The sequence below is a fragment of the Homo sapiens genome, chromosome 9, assembly GCF_000001405.40.
Source record: "Homo sapiens chromosome 9, GRCh38.p14 Primary Assembly".
Lineage (NCBI taxonomy): Eukaryota > Metazoa > Chordata > Mammalia > Primates > Hominidae > Homo > Homo sapiens.
The window spans coordinates 104,269,226-104,287,924 of record NC_000009.12 but is presented as its reverse complement, the minus strand read 5'-3'; the positions used below and the strand labels follow the sequence as shown (position 1 = coordinate 104,287,924).

The following is an 18,699-nucleotide window of genomic DNA, read 5'->3' as shown; positions in this document are numbered from 1 at the left end:
ACACAGCTTGTAAGTGATTAGATATGATTTGAATCCAGGTCTGTGTGACTCCAAAGCCATTGCTGTTTTTGTTATACGACACTGCCTATTAAGTTACAAGCACTAGTACCTCATGATAAAAAATGGGCTACTTGTAATATGAACATTTTTAATAGAGAAGTTCCAAGAAACAGGACATCACCAGGGCCATGATGTCATTGTGGTTTACACTTCCCATGAACTCTTTCCAATAAACATTTCATTTAAATTTAGTAAAGCAGTTAATAAAGCCATAAAGGTTAATTACTAGTTAAGGGAAAAATATGACTTCACTTTGGTGAACATGTGAAAAATGAATCAACTTCTTTCTCAGTTAACCCAGGATTATACAGGCAATAAAGCATGATTATGGATTTAACATGTTAATTCCCAGTAGATTTAATAGCAGTGCTGTGAAATACATGACCAATCGCTAACCCATCTGACAAGCCTTCAGACAGCACTAATCAAGATTAAATCACTTGGCCCATATGTGGATGCAATATATCTTTCGAGACAAAATGACCATAATTTTTCATCATAGAGGTAGTATACATCCCTGGTGATAGGATGAGAAGCAGAGAAGAAAAAAGTGAGGAACGCAATTTGTGATCTCAATCTGACACCTCACTTTAGAAGCTATTTTCGAAGAAAATAACCTTAACCTTATTTTCATAATTTTAAGATCTCCAGGGTTTATTGCTCGTGGAATGATTCATGCTTTACCTGTAACTTGGGGCATAAAGCAAAGCATCCACATCCTTAAAATATTTTGCCTTTCCAAAAATAGATCACTGGCAGAGTCAGCCCTTTGTAGCTTTGCTCTTACATATTTCAGCAACTCTTCAGGTTTCATCACTGTGATTTCAACTTTTAAGATACAGAATCCTAAATAACACCATAGTTCCTTTCTCATGAATCATACTGCCTGGTAACCATAAACGAAAAGCATTGTGTTCTTTTTATTACCTGAAGATTACGAACAAGGGTCTGAGAACTATGGGCTTTGGGCCAAATCTGGCCCACTAGCTGTTGTGTAAATAAAGTTTTATTAGTATTCAGCCAAACCCTTTCACTTATGTATCATCTCTGGCCATTTTCATGCTACAACAGCAGAGGTGGAAAGTTGTGACAGAGAGTATATTTTCCCAAAGCTTAAAATATTTATTATCTAGCCCCTTACATAAACTTTTTGCTGATTCCTGGTTAAGAGTTTCATTTTTTGTTAATTCAAATTCAACTGAAACATGGATATTTTCAGGGTCTTCCACTTCTCCCATTTATGTAGCCCATTTTGTTTCCCAACTGTCTAAAGTCTCACATCAAAACTTCTTCTCACTTCACATTTTAGTGATTAGAATTAAATATGGGGGCTTGTGCTCTAATACACAATAGATCCTCAAAAACATGAATTCATTGCCTCTCCACCAACATTTTGTTGTTCTTGCTGTTTTACAAGGAACCAGTACAGTGTGATGGTAAAGAACAGGGAACTGGCTCTATACTTGGGGTCAGAGTCCAGGAGATTAAACCAGCTAATATATTTAAGGGTTGATGTCACTGTTCCTGGCACATTGTCTATGTTCATTAATTGCTGTTTTCTTCCTCTTCCTTTCTTCCTCCATTATTACCCATGTTACCTAGGGTACATTTCTTACGTTCTCTGTGCCTTGATATTTTTATCTATAAAATAGGAATTATGATAATAATAATATACCCACCTCATAGAGTTTTGGTAGGATTAAAAAATGTAACACAAGCAATATGTTCAGAATAGTGATGGGCACACAGTAAGCACTACACCAGTGTTGCTCACCGTTATCACAATGATCTTCCTCCTCATCTTCATCACCTTCATTTCATTAAAGAGGTTAGTCATGTTGGAAAGGGTTAACCTATTACCCATTGGCTAACTAAAAAAAAAAAAAAAAAAAAGGATTTACTTAGATAAGTATGAGGTATAGGATTGTAAAATCTAACCAGTCCTGTGTTTAAGTCAAGCTCTGTCACCTTTCATTTTTGGGGGTTGAGAGTCAAGATCTTGCTCTGTCACCCAGGCTGGAGTGCAGTGGCATGCTCATGGCTCACTGCAGGCTTGACTTCCCAAGTTCAATCCTCCTCCCACCTCAGCCTCGATAGTAGCTGGGACTTACAGGCGTGTGCAGCCACACCCAGCTTATTTTTGAAGTTTTTGTAGAGATGGGGTTTCTCCATGTTGCCCAGGCTAGTCTTGAACTCTTGGGCTCAAGTGATCCACCTACATTGGCCTCCCAAAGTCCTAGAATTACAGGTGTGAGCCACTGTGCCCAGCCCATTGTTTTTTGTTCTCTAATATTTCATTTAGCTTCTGTGCACCTGAGTTTTCACATTTGTGATATGAAGTAAACAATACAGATCTCATCAGTGAGTTGAAGAGTAAACCATCGAATATATTTAAAGGCTGATGTCACTGTTACTGGCACATTGTATAGGCTCATAGTTGCTGGTTTCTTCCTCTTCCCTGCATCTGTGTTCTTGAAGGTAGCCTAACTCTCCTGAATGTCTTGTATTTCCTGATTGTTCATGCTCTGAGCTCCAATCATGCTCATTACTTCACAGTTTCACATTTGCCCTCCTCTTTTCTCTGCCTCTTTGTGATGGTAAATTTTAGTGTCACCTTGAATGGTCTAAGGGGTACCCAGGTGGCTCATTTCTGGCTATGTCTGGCAGGGGCAGTGTTTCCAAAAGAAGAGACTAACATTTGACTTGATAGACTGAGTAAAGAAGATCTACCTCACCAATGTGAGCAGGCATCATCCAATCTGTTGAGGCTGGAACACAACAAAAAGGCAGAGAAAGGGAAAATTCTCTTCCCTTCTTGGCCTGGGACGTCCATCATCCCTTGCCCTTGGCCATGGGATGTCCTGGTTCTTTGGCCTTTGGACTCAGACTTGCACCAGCACCCACTCCCCGATTCTCAGGCTTTTGGTTTGGGACAGGGAGTTATACCATCATCTCCTCTGGTTGTCAGGCCTTTGAAGTTTCACTGAATTACACCACTGACTTTCCTGGGTTTCCCACTTGTAAATGGCATAATGTGGGACTTGTCAGCCTTCAAAATTATATGAGCTAATTCCCATAATAAATTCCTCTTATATATCCATGTATATCCTACTGGTTTTTCTTATCTGGAGAATTCTGATTAATACACTCAATTAATACACTTAATTTGTGGTGGGTTAATTCTTGTGTTCAGACCAACCTGTGTTTTCTCATATGGTAAACCTTTAATAATGACAATAGTAATAATAGCTTGCTTATACTCTTTCTTGTTCTGTCTCCTCTCCCCTACATATAAATGTATGTATGTATGTGTGTGTGTGTATATATATACACACATACATATATATATACACATATATATATATACACACACATACATACATACATATATATATATATATATATATACCACTATGTGCCAGGCAGTGTTTTAAGAATTTTTAAAGAATTTTACACTTTATTGAACCCTCATAACCACCCTTTGGGTCAGACACTATTGTTATCTCCATTCTATAGATGAGGAAATTGAGCAATGGAGGTTCTAAAACTTGACCAAGGTCATATAGTTAATAAGCACAAAGTAAGGATTTAACTCCAGGCAGTCTATCCCTGGAGTCTGTGCTTTTAGCCACTATGCCATTCTGCTTCTCTAAATGCTTTACAAAATCTTAATGGACTTCATAAACATACTCTACCAATGCATTTCTGCCTTGGTATATGCATTCATGTGTGTTTCATGTATGGAATAGTCCATCTGTTTTTAACACATATAATGTAAAAGTTATATGGTATATGTATATTTTTTCTAAAAGGAAACTCATTCAAGTAGTAATAAATAAGGAATAACTATTTAAATTTATTAATTAGATTCTATTTACACTACTGTCAACCTCAAATTTTTGTTTGACCTGAAATCTTATTTATTATAGTCACCATTGTCGGCTACTACATGATAACAAACTTGTATTTAAAAATTTTGGTAGAATAATAGTTTATGGCTGGCATTCAGTCCTAAAACTGTTACTTTAAGGAAGTGCTTCTCAAAATATTCTGCATATAAATCTCCAGGGGATAATATTAAAATTCAATTTCTGGTTTGCGTTGGGGCCCATGATTCTGAATTTTTATCAAGTAGCAAGAATCTTTTGATATAGTACACAAAGACTTTCATGTTAACCTGTAAGTGATTATCTATCTAAGGGCATCCTTTAGAATCTCCTTGGGCTTTACTTTGTCTGGGCACAGTTGATTGACTTTTAGGTTCTAACACAGAAGAGTGATTGAAATGAATCATGTTGGATTTCATGGCAAGGGTCCTTCTTGCGTCACTATTTCCTCATGATGCCTCCTACAACCACTGATCCTATTCAATTCATATGCAAATTTTGTTCTGTATCTTTCATCATCCATTTTTCCAGTCAGCATTAACTAAGCACTTACTATGTGCTAGGCTGGTCCTTTTCTTGAAGAAGTTCTCATTCTTAAGGGAGGGATATGGGGAGAGTGAACTCAGACATGTAAGATAAAAATGGCAAAATAAGTATTTTTGGTTTTACAGTAGAAGTTCGAGGGCACAGGCTGGGCATGGTGGCTCATGTCTGAAATCCTAACACTTTGGGAAGCCAAGGCAGGCAAATTGTTTGAGGCCAGGAGTTCAAGACCAGTCTGGCAACATGGCAAAGTCCCATCTTTACAAAAAGCACAAAAATTAGCCAGGTGTGGTGGCACATTCCTGTAGTTCCAGCTACTTTGGAGGCTGAGACAGGAGAATCACTTGAGTCCAGGAGGTCGAGGCTGCAGAGAGCCGTACTCACATCACTGCACTCCAGCCTGGATGACAGAATGAGACCCTGTCTCAATTAAAAAAGAAAGAAAGAAAATGAAGTTTGAGGGTACAAAGAAAGTGATACAAAGAAACTTCTAAGAGCTTGACAGTTGGGAAAATATAAAGTAAAACTTCAAAAAGATTGTGTCCCTTAAATGGATTCTAGAAAGTTTCTCTAAACAACAGAAGAACAAAGTCTTTGCAAGCTAAGAAGTTAGCATGAAAATGGGCAATGGCCTGACCTGATTCAGAAACTGACTTGCTACTGGTATTGTTGAATTTTAAATTAAAAAGAAAAAAAGCAAAGAATCTGCTACAGTAGAGACTGGGAAAGTATTGAAGGGTTAATCAGGGTAGTGGTTGATCACTGCCTTGCATTTATGCACCTATTCTTCTGAATTATAAGTATATATAAACAATAAGTATATATGCATAATCCTCATATCTCAAAATATGATTTTATGTAATATTTAATGTACAAAATAATATGTATAACATATTTGTTTGTTATGAAGCCTCTTATAAAAATATACCTGTCAACCCACTATGCAGCTTTATACTTTGAACATTACTGAAACTGTTGAAGCTGTGTTCAGATACTTTCTAGTTTACTTTAATAAACCATATGCCAATGAGACAAAACTGCACGTGACAGCATTTCTATATAACGTTCTAAAATTTTACATTGGAGCACTTAATAATGTGACAAAATTTCTTATCAGTCCTTAGTTGTAAAATACTTCCAGTAGCTCAATAGTCACTTTGATGTGACTAACAATTAAATCAAAAATCGAACATTTATAGCATATTGAAAATGGAAAGAAATCTAGAGATCCTCTAGCAGAGTGTTTCTAAGTCCAAATTGTATTACAGGCCAGTAAATCACTTAAAATCCACTATAGACCTCAATAATGTGACAAAAAAGTCCAGATGAGTATGAAAGATGAGCCCAGTGAAAGCCACTGGCATGGAGAATGGTGAGGAAGGCTCAGATGCAAGGCAGTAGCATTGTTTTACAGAACATCAGATCAGTGGTTCAAAAAGGGACTGAACAAATTACATTTAACTGAGGTGAGAACTGAATTGCAGAGAAGTTAGCTTATCCAATATCATACAGTTCAACAATACCAAACCAATTAGAGAAAATTTGTTTATTGAACAACAACATGGAGGACACTGGAGTAAGTGTTGTGATGGAGATGCATTTTGTCTAAGACAAGGAAGTTATAATCTATTTTATTGATAAGAGATGATGTGTGCAGATAATGGTGTGTTCCTGTGCATGAAATATATGTATGTATGTCTGTGTTTGTGTGTTTGTCTACCAGGACAAATGGATGGAGGAATGGATTGAAGCTAAAGGATTCTCTGTGCAACAGGGAACCAATGAAGAATTTTAGGCAGGCAAATTACATAAATAAATGTGTAATACTACAATGACAGAACCGGGCGTGGTGGCTCACACCTGTAATCCCAGCACTTTGGGAGGCCGAGGCGGGTGGATCACAAGGTCAGGAGATCGAGACCATCCTGGCTAACACAGTGAAACCTCGTCTCTACTAAACATGCAAAAATTAGCCAGGCGTGGTGGCGGGCGCCTGTAGTCCCAGCTACTCAGGAGGCTGAGGCAGGAGAATGGCGTGAACCCGGGAGGCGGAGCTTGCAGTGAGCCGGGATTGCGCCACTGCATTCCAGCCTGGGTGACAGAGCGAGAATCCATCTCAAAAAAAAAAAAAAAAAAATTAGAATGACAGTAGCAGTGTGGATTATTACCTGGAGAAAGAGAGCCCAGAGTCAGGAAAAGAAGTTAGGAGGATACTGTAAGTGTTCCACTGTGCACAGGTGGAAAGCCTTCTCTAAGATGTATCTGTGGGGATTGATAAATTCTCATTAGTTAAAAGATGCAAAATGGAAAGCTATAAGTATTAATAATTCATTCATTTTTATATTAACTCCTGACAATGACTTTAAAGTATCTTCAGACATCTCATTTCTCTTTACCTGCTTTTTATTAGACAGATAAAATATACCTCAAGGAGTATCACTCCAAAGAGCACTAGGGAGTCAAGGACAGAGATAAAAACTGGCCCTGGACCTCCAAGGTTTCAGCTGACTCACATGCCATAGAAGATATTGTGTGAACTGAGCCATGTGTATTGAAAATCAGTCACCTGCCTACTCCCAGCTGGCTGAGATGAACCCATTGGCATCAAAAGGACAATTCAGGGTGAACTTGGGAAAGAGGAATTGGTTTTTATTGTTATAAATTAATAGAAGTGACCCTTTGGCACCTCATCCTGTACGATTATGTTAGTATTCTGGATTTTGAATGAAAAAGTGCTCTCAGTAGCAGAGAGGACTAGGTGTTTAAAGGTTGTAAGTATTTCTGAGTTAGATTTGAAAAACTCGGTCAACCAGAATAAGCTATAAAAACGCAAAGCATGGGCAGTTAGAACTACAGTTTTACTCTCAGCTCTGTTGCTTGTTATGATATAATCTCTTTGAAACGCATTTTCCTTGTTGAAAAGATAAGCGTAATTGAACCAACCTTACTCACTTTTTGTAATAGTAAAATGACATAGTGTTTGTGAATGTGTTCACCAGAGGATGTGAAAGATAGATAAATACAAATGGCAACAACAGCTAAAAAGTAGGTAGTACCAGGTTGTGGTTTAAGATCATTTACTCAAGTTGGGGCCATGTAGGTTTGAGTTCAAACCACAACATTTACTAGCTTTCCTCACTGATAAAATGTGGATTAAAGTACTGCCTCATAGAATTTATGTGTGTGTGTATATCACGAATAGTAAACTTTCAATATTTGTTATTGTTACTGTGTTATCATTAAATATAAATTCCCATCCATGAAATGCTGTTTCCATATTTAAGGTTATGACATTTTTGATTCATTAGAAAATTTATTTGACTCTTTAATGAGTCTTGACATCTTTGAGATAGACTGGAATTTAGAAAATATCCAGTCAAATTTTTCACATTTTTGGAATCCAGCCAAGTATGAACACTTCTAGGGATGAGAATTCCTTTTCTCTATTGGCCTCTTTCCCACTCTTAAAGGAATCATATGACTAGTCTAATAGGAAAGGCTTTCTTTGATTAAGCAGAATCACCTTCCTGAAACTTTACCCTTAAAAGAAGCCAGATTTGCTCTCCAAATTATTTAGAAATATACACTTTCCTAGAGAACAATCATTTGTGTATTTGAAGACTTTGATATGTCTACTTTGCTTTTCTCTGCCAAGGGAAATTCTCTACGTCTTTGAATGCAGCCTAGCATTATTGGCTCATAAGTATACTTTTGACTACAATAACAGTTTTACTTTCTTTTTTATAAACTGCTGCTAAATTGTGGTGTTCTGAACTACTATAATTGATTTCCTGTTTTTTCTAATTTCAGGGCTTTGCATATATTTCCATGAATTTCTACCGTGAAGGGTTTAGCTAATGGTTGATAGTAGAAAACTCACCTAATTTGATAAGAGGTTACATACCAAAAAAAGGAAATATGGCAATGTTTACAACTAAGTTTACTGGAACACATATATTTCTGTTACATGGGTTGTCTAAGATTTCTTTAGAAAACATGTCTTTATTCTTTTCCAAAAGTTAAGAAAGTAAATAAAATACTGTTTAAATATAAAAAATTTGAATTTTGAGTCCTGTGCTAACTTTAGGTGCTTTGTGACTGCTGTAGACTCAGCTGGTTTTATGCCTGTTTAAAACTTGGCATCAACTTCCCTTCTCAGCGTATCTCTCAGCATTTTCCAGCTACACTAGAAGTGCAGTTCTAGAAAATTTCATTTTTCTTCCTTTTCTTCAAGTCTCTCCTTTTTCTTGATAGCCCTTGCCACTAAATTCATCTGGTAAACTCCTACTCACCCTTTAGGACCATACCCATATATGACTTCCGAAAAGTCTTCAGAAACTTCCCCAAGACAATTATTACTCCCTCTTCATTCTCTAACAGACTTCCATTGTGCCAATTCCCAGTGCCTTGCTTGATTGAAAGTGAATAAAATCCTGATTTAATAAAGGAGGCATACAGGAAATGTACTGACACAATACTTAAGGAGGTTTAAAATAATACAACCACATAAAAGATAGAATGACAGCTCGGGTTCTAGAAGATCCACGTCCTACTTCCAAGACTCTCTTTACCTGACTTGTCTCACTTTACTCTGTTAGCTTTCTCCTGTCTTACCTCAAACTGACTTTCTCATATTGAGAAATACAGCTCTTGATAGTACTAGGTTGATGCAAAAGTAATTTTTGTTGTTACTTTTAATGGCAAAAACTGCAGTTACTTTTGCACCAACTTAATATCTAAACTTTAAATTTCTCACCATGTGCTAACAGGGAAAAAGAATGACCCTTTTGCTCAGGACCAGTTTGAGAAATACCAGGGAAATACTATATTGTGTGGCCAGAGGGGCAAAATACTGATTAGTTTGGCTTAAGTAGCCACCATCATTGAGCCATGGTACTATAGATGGAGAATCAGAGTTATCTAAAAGAAAAAAAAATGGCATCTAATAAAGGCATCTGGATGTCAGGGCATGTGGAGGTGTAGTTTTTAAGAGAGGGTGATCGTAAAAGGTGTGCCAAAAATTCCATAAATGCTCATTTTTACCATTTATTTACATCTGCTTTGCTAACTAGGCTGTGAAATACTTTAAGGCAATGCCTATACCTTAAGACAGTGACCCTGCCTTTATTTTCTAGGGACTAAAAATGCATTAGGTCTAAAACTTAATAGACCTCAGTAGATATTAATATTTTTTAAATAACTGATATGGTCTGGCTCTGTGTCCCCATCCAAATTTTATCTTGAATTGTAATCCAAATTGTAGTTCCCACATGTTGGGGGAGGGACCTTGTGGGAGGTGAATAGATCATGGGGGCAGTGCCCCCATGCTGTTCTCATGATAGTGAGTGAATTCTCATGAGATCTGGTGGTTTTATAAGGGGCATTCCCCACCTTTGCTCTGCACTTTTCTCTCCTGCTGCCATGTGAAGAAGGATGTGTTTGCTTCCCCTTCCACCATGATTGTAATCTTCCTGAGGCCTCCTCAGGCATGCTGAATTGTGAGTCAATTAAACCTCTTTCCTTGATAAATTATCCAGTCTCAGGCAGTTCTTTATAGCAGTGTGAGAACAAACTAATACAATAAGACATGTGTTTAGTAACATATGAATAACTTGTGTTAGGAAACTTATGCTTTTATTGTTAGTATAATCTTCAGGGTGTTTGGAACTTTGAGCAGTCGATCTTTACAGTTAAATCTAGGAACAGAAAATAAGTCAAATATTTTAATAATTGATTTCATAAGAAAAAAAGTAGGGAGAAATATTTACATATATGACCAATATAATGATTTGCATTTGTCTCCAAAGTCAACTTTGAATTTAATAACCAGGCTTTTACTTTCAGTTATAAAGCGATGTGATAAATCTTTTCAGTAATGTTTTTAGATTATATTCATACTCTTTGAATGTATGAATAACTAGCTTGGTGGTTAGTTTAGTAGACTGATTTGACTTTTAAAACAATTTGCACCAATGTTTCTGATAGTATGTCTCTTTTGTATTCTTTCTTGACCCAGTAAATATTCTGAAGATTCCAATGCTGTTTTTCGTGGATTTGCCTCCTGCAGGAGGGTGCACACTCAGACCACTCATTTGTCTTATATCATCCAGATTGCCCAATTCATCACTGACATCCTCTGTGGTGTGTATATCTGAATAATGGCATTTGGTTTTTCTGTGCCTAACTGCTCTGGTTCTTCTAGCTCTAGGAAATGTAGTTTCTTGCTTTATCTCCTGTTTACTTGGGGATCTGTGTTTCTGGAGCTGTAGGCATGTGGGACTGTTACAGCGTCTTCCTGCTTGGGAAGTACCTTCACTTTTAGAAGCACACTTGGGTCTCTTCCCAGCAGTTGAAGAAAGCTTCACGTATTGGACTGTGGTTGAAGATGGCCTCCCACAGTCTGATTCATTGCCATGGGCATGCTTGTCTTTTGAGGGCTCACAGCATATATTCTGGGTGAAGTGTTCACTTCTGTGACTTCCTCTCAGAGAGAGATTACTCAATTCTCTGCTTACAGATCTCTTTCTAGATCCAACACACCAGGATTTGGATCTGTGAGTATTGGACCTTGATCGTCTTTGGATTCTTCTCCTGGAGTGTGACCCAATTTCTACAAATTGGGAGGGTTGTCTACACTTCATCCTCTTTTTTCTGAAAGAACTCAGTTTCCTGCCATCTCTCTTAGGAGAAAAGGCATTTTCTGAAATGCAACTCCAAGAGGGGTCTCTCTCTCTGGATTTGCATCTTTTCAAGGATCTTTCTCTGGACAATCTTTGAAAGGTCTTTGGTGAAGAATCTGAGTATTTGTTATTGTCTTCCTCTTTTTTCTGAAAGTTTATCTTCTGGCCAAGGCTCAAATCCTTTCTTTCTCTTAAACTATATTTCTATGGTTGCACCTGATTAGAAATTGCTGGGGTACTGAAGGTGTGTGCAGTTGTGTCACTCTTTCCCAGATCATGGACATGATCAGGAAACAACTTTATCCCTTCTGTCTTTTTCTCTTGAACTTTTTTTTGCAATTCAGTAGGCCTGGGCACCTTTCCCTTGGAGTAGCCCACTTCTGGAGTATATTATTCATAGAAATGATGCTTTTGTGGTCACCCGATTCTGCTTTGTCTTTGATTCCACCATAGATTTTGCTTACTGTTTTATCACAGACTGGTGGGATTTCAGATTTCTTCAAGGAAGAGTTACCATTTGGAAACTGTTTCAAGCCTAACAGGGGCCTCTCCTCTTTATTCCATTGACCCTGGGTATTTTTAGACTGCTTTGTATTATGTTGAGATATCAGTAGACTGTGATCCTTAGGCAGAGGTGAAACAGGAGCTGATACAAGGGGCTTCTTGTTTACACATGGTGAAGCAGCAGAGCACTGATAGATGGCTCGCTGGTCATAGGTCTCCATGTTGTAAGGTGAATGAACAAAACTAATAAACTCATGTAGGAAATGGTGGGTGTGTTGTAAGAGATAAGGTTCCAGGAGGTGAATGAAGGACTCACTGTCCAAGTCATATTCTGTCATGTGATGGAGGATGGTGATTAGGATGTTCTTCACTGTGTAGCCATAATCTCCATAAACAGCTGTTAGTTCCCCTTCCAGCCAGGGAACCAGCCGGTGTAGGCAACCTGGGTTTCTTTTAAAATAATTAGCTGTAAAGTGCTTTTGAGGTTTGTAGCCTCGAATATGCGTCACCCAAATTCCAGAATAATACAGAGCTCTTCTGAAATTCATAACCACTGGATCTCTAAAGTAGCTCAGAGACATGGAGTTTGGTTGGAACTTCCCATTATCCCCAAACTCCCTCAGTAACTCATGGATAGTCCACTCTCTCAATGGCTTGATTTTCCTTTTCATATCCTCAAGGCTCAAAATTAGATGATTGTTTTGAGAAGACCCCACATAGCTTTCCTCATCTGAGGGAGGAACTGCTGAGTCTTCTTTGTTACCACTCTCTGGCTTGGTGGGACAACACTGAGAAGGAAAGCACTGCATGCTAGAAGAAAGCATGGATTTCTTCCTTGATCTTGAATGTCAAGAGCCATTACCACTCTCGTTGGAACAGGTGTTCCAATCAGACTCATTCGGAGGACCCTCCAAACAATTAGGACACTCACACTCAGATGAGAGATCTAATGACTTTGCTGTTATATTGGATTCTATTTCACAGTTGAATACGAGAAAAATTGGCTCAAATCAATTCCTCACTTGCCATGAAAAATGTCTTTTAAAAGCACTCCATTCATGTTTTCATAATACATTTTATCTCCATGGAATAAATGCTAGAATAAAGTTAAGAAACAAACTATTCCTCAAATTAATAATAATGTGCTCATAAAACCCAATGTAGATAAGGCAATGGGGATACAGGCATAGATTTTCTTTTTCTCTCTTAAATTAGTTGTTTTAAACACTGAAAAGCAAATTAGAAATAAACATCAAAATTTAAGTACTATATTATTTGACTTAGCAATTCTAATTCTATAAATTTAATCTAGCTGTTGGAACCATATATATGTAACATATATATGTTTGTGTGTGTGTGTGTGTGTGTGTGTATGTGTGTATGTTGACTTTGTTTTTGTAATAACAAGAAACTGAAAACAACTTAAATATCCATCAGTAGGGGACTTGTTAAATAAATGATATTTCATTCATAGTATTTAATATTATGCATCCATTCAAAACATGAAGCAAAGTACATGTTAATATAAGAAGATTGCTGAATACATTTTTTCTTTCTTTTTTTTAAATTATACTTTAAGTTTTAGGGTACATGTGCACAATGTGCAGGTTTGTTACATATGTATACATGTGCCATGTTGGTGTGCTGCACCCATTAACTCATCATTTAGCATTAGGTATATCTCCTAATGTTATTACATTTTTAAATGAAAAAGTTTATATAGAAGTATGAAAGACTGTTATAAACTCTTAAACAGTAAGCATTAATTTCTGTTAGTATTGTGAACTCGAAACCTGAAAAACTTTTCTATTAGGAATAACAAAATAATGCTAGCTATAATAATTATGTATATATACACACACATATATGTGACTGTGTGTGTGAAAGTGTGTGTGTGTGCGTGCATGTATGTGTATGCTAAGTTGAGAGGAAATAAGCAAAATTGCCAGACATTAAAGAACCAGAGATAAATAGGAATCCAGAAAAGGAAGTGAGTTCTAATACCGCTAGTTACCCATATCTGGTGTTCTTGAGCTTTAATTCTGATAGAACTGATAGTTGTAGATGATCAGAGACAAAGAATGGACTCTGCTGAAGGTTAAATATTTAATAGGAAACCCCTCTGTAAGTTTGTGTATCCAAATGTTTACAGCCTCACCAAAAGGCGAATTTGAAAAAAAAGCAATACCCCACAAAAGAGTCAACAAGAAATCTTAGAAGAGCTATAACTAGAAACAAGTAAGTGTGTTTGCAGACTAAATTTAAACAATCAGTTTTCTTAAAAATCTCAAGAGGATAATTTATTTTGAGTTCCATACTGATCCCAGGCAACTGGTATAGGCAAACCCAAATTTTCTCTGGAGGAATGCAGCTTAAACCCAGGTCTCATGACACATTTCCCATAAATTAGTTCACAATCAAAAATCACCACCAACAAAAGAAAATCGGTCATCATATGCATAAGTCCACAGAAATAACAGAGAGCAAATTTGGCACCTAAAAGAATTGCAAAATGATACACTGAATATGTTCAAACAAATAAAGGTGTTTTAAAAGTGTTATCAAAACAGAGTGTATAAAACATGACAAAAGGGATTTGAAACATAACCAGATAGGATTTCAAGAAATAAAAATATAAGTATCGAAATTTTAAAATGAATGGATGAAATAAACACAAAATAGACATAGATGAAGGGAGTTACCAGTGCATTAAGATGGAGATCTGAAAGAATGCATAGAATGCATCACAGAGAGAAAAAGAAATGGAAATTTGGAAGATAAAGACAACTTTTAAGTGAGACTGTTTAAAATGTTTAGGAAATAATAGAGAAAATGAAGGAAAAGTGATATTCAAACAGATCTATTTAACAACTTTCTGGAATATGTAAAATATGTAAATCATCAGTTTCAGAATTATGATAAATTCCAAGTATAATAACTAAAAAGAAATCCCCTCTAAAATAGATCAAAGTAAAACTGTTGTACACCAAAGAAGAAGTGACTGCCCAGTTGTAATTATATAAATCAAACAAAAAAAGAATATATCTTCAAAGTACTGATTAAAGCAAACTTGTCATCCTAGAAATATATATCCAGTGAAAGTGCCTTTCATGGATTAGGTCAAAATTTGAATTTTGAGAGAAAGACATTTGTGAGAAACTAAACCCAAAAAAAGTTAAAGACCAACCAACCCTTTCTAAAAGAACATGTGAAAGATGTAGTTCAGAAGGAAAATTATACAAAAATGACTACAGAAGGAATTGATGAGATGAAATACAAAATGATAAACAAAAATGGTAAACATATGGATCAATCTAAGCAAGACATGTATAAAACAATATTATAAATGTCTATATTGTGGGATTAAAATGAAAATAAAGCTCTAAATATTAAAAAAATAAAAGTTGGAAGGTGAGTAATTGAACTCAAAACATTTTAAAGTTTTTGTTTTATTATGAAGAAAGCTTAAGATATGTATTAAATTTAGACAGTTAAATATGTACATTAAAATGTCTACAATAATCACTAAAAGAAATGGGCTACATTCAAACTTGTAATAAGGAGAGACAGTGGAATTAAAGAGGAAAACATCAATGAAATTCAATATAAAAATAAAATAAGCAAATCAAATAATGAATAAAATAGAATTTCATATGTAAATTTTAAAATAATAAATATAAAATTTAAATGGACATTCTTATGGGGCAAAACTATTTGTAAAGAAAGCAATGGAATTGACAAACCCTGAAATGAAGATAGTGTTTCCTACCAGGTGTTAGAGAGCGAGATAAATGCCATCAAGAAAAGACATGCAGAGGTCTTCAAAGGTGGTAGATGTGTTCTATTCCTTAGCCAAGGGGGTGGGTATTATGCATTGACTTTATTATTACTATTTAAAACTTATATATGTTACACATCTTTTGTATTATTTAATATTTAATTAAATTTTTAATTCAAGAAAGATATACACAGCATAAGTTTGGATATACAAAGAAAATTTCTGGACAGCTATACAAAAGATGCCAGTATAGTTATAGGTGGTTGAATTTGATGTAAGGACAGGAAAACAAAGCTTACAAGTAGTTTCCAACTTATACTCACAATGTAATTTTTTAAACCATTCACATGTATTTTTTTCTAATTAAAAAACTAGCTAAAAATAAAATCATATATCACATAAAATCATCTTAAAATCTTAGTCTACACATTTTGAGCATTTTGGGCTGACATGTTTGACGAAAAATTGCTCACATTTTTAATAGTCAATATTTTTCACTTAGTCTGACTTCTTGTTATCTTTGACATTTTTCCATGATGGAATCTAGTTTTTTTATTTTTATTTTTATTTTTTGAGACAGAGTCTCACTCTTTCACCCAGGCTGGAGTGCAGTGGCGCCATCTTGGCTCACTGCATCCTCCATCTCCCAGGTTGAAGCAATTCTCCTGCCTCCACCTCCTGAGTAGCTGGGGTTATAGGCACCTGCCACCATGCCCCGCTAATTTTTGTATTTTTAGTAGAGACAGGGTTTCAGTATGTTGGCCAGGCTGGTCTCGAACTCCTGACCTCAAGTGATCTGCCTGCCTTAGCCTCCCAAAGTGCTGAGATTACAAGTGTGAGCCACTGCACCTGGAAAACTTCTAGTTTTTTAAACTCATGGAATAGTAGAGTTGGAAAGAACTTCAGAGATCATATTGTATAGTAGTTTTCAAGACTTTTGAAGGCAAAGAACTCTTGTAATAAAATCATACTGTGCAACACATTAAACATAATTCAGTCCTATCTCTACCTCCCAACTTCCTCAGGACTGCCCACCTCGCCCTACGCATGGTTCTCCAATATAGCTCCACTAAATTATTAGGGTCACCATGGAGTTTAGGTTTACAAAACTCTTGTCTACTTCACATTTAACTAGTGCAGAAATCTCTTATATAACCCCATGGCAGATTGTTACCTGGTTTCTGTTCCAATTCTTCCTCACAATTTTAGGTATTCTTAGACATGGTTCATTCTGTTTCACTGCAGCTTGGTCTAAGGATAAAGAAGTTTTTCCTTGCTGCTAGCTAAAATCTTTTGTTACATAACCCCAAATTATTAGCCCAAACTGTGTCCTGGTTCTAATTTCCCATTCTTCTCCCTAGCCACACTAATCCCTTCCACGAAACTATGAGAGCCTCTCACATGTGAAGGCAGTTAGCTTATGGCCCCACACAACACAACCCTCTGACCCTAGCAACTGGGGTCTCTGTCCTGGCCTCCTCAGTTTGAAACTACCTTAGGACCTCTTCCATCTGTGCCCTTTCACAGAGGGGAGGAGCTCATGAAACCAAAAGTTTAGGCTATCTGTACTCCCTCTTTCCCATAGATGATCCTTCTGTTTTCTAGAACTCCTAAAGTTCTTGCCTAAATAGTCCTTCTAGGGCTTGCACTAACCTCATTCCAGGTCCATTCTCAAGGGCAGACCACATGGTCAACGTACACAAACCTAGACTAGAGAGGTGGACATGAGGTGAGTGGATGGAATTTGTGAATGGAGACTGGAGTGCAAAAGGCTACTTATGATGCTACATATAAAAGGGACAGGATGCAGATAATGAGGTTTTCCATTTGTACTTTTACCTCACCCCCCACAAATATTAAGAGCAAGCCTACTCTCAAAACTTTTAATTTTCCAATCTTTTCATTTCTACTGCCTTCAAGCTCATTTTTATGATAGCTAATCCAATTCCTGCTAATACTAGGTTGCCAGATTAAAAATAGCCTGTGTCTAGATCCCTCCAAGTTAAACAGTTTTAGTGAATTATTAACTTTTAAGCAAATATAGCCAAGCTGATTGCCTAACTTCCATCCCTTCCGTTGAGGTTTCAAGCCATCCTTTCCAGAGGTAATGCTTTCACCAAGTCTTCATTCACCTTGAAAGTAAAAATGACAGAAGTTACATTATTTAGCAAATTTACCTCATGGAGGATTTGGACATATCCACAGTGATCTGAGCCTTAGCTTGCTGGATTAATTTGGTTGTAGTGGATCACCTCTGTTTTGTTTGCCTTAGAGACAGAATTTAGAACACAGGGCAAGTTCTGCTATGGTCTAGGCAAAGACAGACCTCCAAGATTTCCATGAAGCTTGGCATATTTTGTTTCGCAGCACTGTCCCTAGTGCGTTTAAGACACAATCCTGAATAAAATGGGATTCAAATCCATGACTTAGAGGTTGCCAGAACTCTTTGTTTTAGTAGACCAATCAGAGCCAATGTTCTAACAAGTAGTCTGATTCAGAAGAGAGCAACAGTGCTTGGTGGAATACCACTTTTCTTGATGAATGAATTCTCCAAAGTAAAAGTTGCTGGTGTCCTATTAATATTTGGATTTAAATTATTTAATAAGAAAATTGTCACTTTCTATTTAAATGAAAGATATGAATAAACCTGTTAGCATGTATGCGAGGTGGATTAATCAACATCTTGGTTGTTTGTGTACCAAGATTTTGGACTCAAAATGATACAAATTTGTTGATTATTTTTTCAGGGCCTTTACTCATCCATGGCTAAATACCAGTTAATACAAAAAACACAATTGGAAGGTCACTCAAAATAGAACATTTTTCTTTCCTGTTGCTTTTATGACTGATAAGCTCCCTTGAAGTTTAGTCATGCTTACCCAGGTTATTCAACCTCTCTCAGATCCAGAACAAAACCAGTTTAGCTCACAGGATATTTGGAGGGATTATATGAGCTACTCTGTGTTAGTGCTTGGCATCTAACAACAGTTCAATAGAACAGACATTTTAATATTATTTCTAGTGTGCTTCATTGAGAATGCCCAAGACAGTACATCATCTTTTATAAAAATTGTGTTTTGTGTGATTTTTTTTAACCCAAAATTGATACCAATTCTGCTACCTCTGTACCTTTTAGGCAAAATAGAACCACATATCTTCATACCTATGTCAGCAGTATGCAGAGGAAAGAAGAGTACAGAAGTGAGTTTTTGTTCTAACAGTACCCCCAGCACATACACATATGCTC

General features: G+C 36.5%; 1 long non-coding RNA gene and 1 pseudogene across 1 annotated transcript; both read right to left on the bottom strand.

Annotated features, from left to right (window-relative positions):
* Positions 1-1,346: 1,346 nt before the first annotated feature.
* On the bottom strand, positions 1,347-17,696 carry LOC105376194 (uncharacterized). The gene is made up of 4 exons (NR_135141.1): positions 17,630-17,696; positions 6,659-6,752; positions 1,835-1,931; positions 1,347-1,701 (listed from the first exon to the last, which is right to left on the bottom strand). It is a non-coding gene; the product is annotated as an uncharacterized LOC105376194 (long non-coding RNA).
* TOPORSLP (topoisomerase I binding, arginine and serine rich like, pseudogene) lies at positions 10,994-12,603 on the bottom strand (annotated as a pseudogene).
* Positions 17,697-18,699: the final 1,003 nt, after the last annotated feature.